Source organism: Homo sapiens, chromosome 1 (genome assembly GCF_000001405.40).
Source record: "Homo sapiens chromosome 1, GRCh38.p14 Primary Assembly".
In the NCBI taxonomy this organism is placed as follows: domain Eukaryota; kingdom Metazoa; phylum Chordata; class Mammalia; order Primates; family Hominidae; genus Homo; species Homo sapiens.
Window position 1 is genome coordinate 184,807,434 of NC_000001.11, and position 3,472 is coordinate 184,810,905.

At 41.6% G+C, this 3,472-nt stretch overlaps 1 protein-coding gene across 6 annotated transcripts in view; it reads right to left on the reverse strand.

The window, feature by feature from the left end:
* Nucleotides 1–3,472, reverse strand: part of NIBAN1 (niban apoptosis regulator 1) — a 183,477-nt gene that overhangs the window by 16,402 nt on the left and 163,603 nt on the right. For all 6 annotated transcript variants that reach the window (XM_047444098.1, XM_047444102.1, NM_052966.4 and 3 more), the window contains one exon: nucleotides 641–802. In XM_047444098.1, coding sequence (XP_047300054.1) covers nucleotides 641–802 — 162 coding nt within the window. The remainder of the gene's footprint in view (nucleotides 1–640; nucleotides 803–3,472) is intronic.

A 3,472-nucleotide genomic window follows, 5' to 3' on the forward strand; every position in this document is an offset into this window, starting at 1 on the left:
TCTCAATCCTGGCTGCATATTAGAAACAGTAGGAATCAGGGTAGGGAAGTTCTATCAAAAAGTAGCCATATAGGCTGGGTGTGGTGGCTTATGCCTGTAATCCCAGCACTTTGGGAGGCCGAGGTGGGCAGTTCACTTGAGGTCAAGAGTTTGAGACCAGCCTGGCCAACACAGTAAAAACCCCATCTCTACTAAAAATACAAAAATTAGCCAGACATGGTGGCACATGCCTGTAGTCCCAGCTACTCAGGAAGTTGAGGCAAGACAATCACTTGAACCCGGGAGGCAAAGGTTGCATGCAGTGAGCCAAGATCATGCCACTGCACGCCAGCCTGGACATCAGTATTTCCCCCAGGTGATTCCAATGTGTAGCCAAGGTTACAGCACTGATTTGACAAATCAAGTAGTTATCAATTAATGCTACTTTATTTTTCTGAGCTATGTCTTGTCTATGATGTTCATCCACATGGATGGAAGATGAAGCCAGTGGAGGGACAGAACGTGTCCTCCCGCAACATGATGGCTAAAGAGACGCGACGTATTTCCCTGAGCTACACTAGCAGCTGGTCTCACTGGCCAGCACCCATTTCTCTGCTCTCTCTTTACCCTCATCCACCACGGATGCCCCTGCCACACCCACCTCCTGCATGTAGTTCTGTGTCCTCTGAACCACCAGATCAATGTGGGGGAATCTGAAGCGGCTCTTGAGATCCTGCAGGCGCTCGTGAAGCAGGTTGACTTTAGTATAACAAGGTTCCATCTTCACGGAATGCAGCGGAAGATTCATAAGCCGGTCTAGATGCTGCATTTTGGTGAAGGGAAACATTAAACACCCTCAGAATGAGGAGCGGTATTGCATATATATTGCATATTACATACATTCTAAGCAATCAAATGCAAGTTGTTAAAGTGAATCACTACTTGGATCCCTACATCTGTGACACCTTCAACTGTCTTATTTTCCTCCTGCAGTGGGTTCCTAGGGTAGCTGTAATGCTAGGACAGAAACCAGCAGAAACACCAACTGGATGAGAGGAAGACCCAGCGGTGCACCCACGGGGACTCCAGTCTTTGTAAGCTGTTGATGGACTCTAATCTCCCACTTCCAGAGCTCAAGAACCAGACAGGTAGGCTCTGATACGTGGTTGCTGCTGGGCCCCCAGGCTTCCAAAATCTTCTTTAGTGAGTGACACTCCTCTCAAAAAACGCCAGGGAGGTCAGGATGCTCCCTGGACTCCTGGACTTTGGAAGGGAAGCCAGAGTTCCTCACAATTCTATGAGGATCTGCCAGGGCCCACAGGGCTTCTCTCTGCTATAGGTTGCTTTAGGTGCTAGTGGATGGGAAGTGGATAGGCAGAGCCCTGTACTGGGAGAGGTATCCAGTTTGAAGAACTGGGGTCCCTCCTACTCTAGTTTGCACTCAGTCAATGAGGCCATTGGGCTTCCAGCATCATACCTCACCTGCTAAAGCCCTAAAGTGTTATCAACAAATGTTGTTGCAACAGAATGCATTCTGTTTTCCAAGCTTAGTTTAAAATCATTTTTTAAAGGAAATACTGGAGGTTTAAAATAAACAGGGGAATGGGTGGAGCAGAAGAAGGCAGAAAGAAAGGTTCTGAAAATGGAGGCTCTAGAGAGAACTGGGGAGTGAGGCAGGTTACATATGAATAATATAAGATGCACTGTCCGACTTTCAGCTCACGCAGAAGAGATAATCTAGATTTCTAGATTTCTCTAAACAGGAATTTTAAGAGGGCCCACTCTCATTATGCTTTAAAGGGAAAATACTGCTCCCTTTATGAAGTGAGTTATGGAGAGGTCCACTGAAGTGAAGTAAGGATCAAAAGCATGCTGTGGAACTTGCAGCTCCTCACCAAATGGAATGTGTCTATTTTTAAAAAATATCAATTAAGCAGACAGAAGAGGAAAAATGGGTTCCCACTTTGCTCCTATCAGATTGGCAAAAGTTTAATCAAATGATAACACCTATAGCTGATAGCAGTATGGGGGAGAAAGCCCTTATCATACACAATTAGTGGAAATGTAAAATTTAAATCCTTTTTTTTGAAATGCAATGGAAACATTTTTTAACATGAGAAATGTACTTTCAACCTGGCTATCTTGTCTTAGGAGAATATACTATAGAAATAAATACATCAGGGTATATGTGTGTGTATATATATATATACACATATATATGTGTGTGTGTATATATATATACACATATATATGTGTGTGTGTATATATATATACATATATATGTGTATACATAAAAATATTAATTTATTATGCTTTATTCATAATGCCAGCAATATTGAGATGAATGAATAAATCATGGTGTATCCATACATGAAACATCATGCAGCCATTACAAAGAAAGATTTAGAGCTAAAACAGTTACCTTGGAAACAGTTTCATGGGGTATTTTTGGAAGAGAAACTGATAAGCAGAGTAATGTATAAAATATAATCCCATTTTTCTTAAAGCAGACAATCTAAAGTCTAGCCTCTAAGGGTGTGTTTTATGTGCTAGATAAGAATGGGGAAAATACAGAATGGCATATGCTAAGTTGTTAACACGAGTTGCTTGAGGGGAGGAGGTGGCATTGGGGAAGGGGAAGAGTGAAGACAAGTAAAACAAAACAGGCTGCAATAAGAAACCCCAAAACATTTCTAAAATGATCCTGTTAATGCACAATTATATATGTGTATATATGCATAAAGAATAAAGGAAAAGAAATAGAGACATCTGGTTTTATCTACTGACTTGTAAGGATGTTCATCATGATATGTCAAGTATAAAACCAAGCTGCCAATTTATATCTTTTTCAGTGATTCTTAAACTGTAGGGTACACCAGAACCTCTGGAGGTCTTGTTAAAACAGACTCCTGGGCACTACCCCTAGATTTTCTGATTTAGTAGATCATTGGTGGGGCCCGAGAATTTGCATTTTTAACAACCAGGTGATGATGACACTGCTGGTCTGGGGACCATACTTTCAGAAATATTGATCTGTTAAAGCAAACTAAATACAGCCTGAGAAGGACTCCATACTTCCATATTTTAGTCCTTGTGGATGAACTGTAAGAGTCAGATAAAATTGAAAACCTAACTTAGTAGTATGCACCTGTAACAATAACTGAGTGTTGACCAGTCCCAGCAGCCATACTTCAACTACTCATAGACTGCTAAATGTTCAAATAAGGCAAATGCTGAGTTGTAACCAGTCTCACTATTTCTGTTCCTCACTTCTGATTCCTGTACGTCACCTTACCTTTTTTGTCTGTAAATTTATTCTGACTGTGAGGCACCCCCGGAGAATTTGTGAATCTGCTGTGATTCTAGGGACTGCCCGATTTGCGAATCATTCATTGCTCAGGTAAACTCCTTTAAATTTAATTTGGCTGAAGTTTTTCTTTTATCAGATGGTGTCAGAAGCAGGATCCGAAGTGGAGCTTCTAGTGACTCCCAG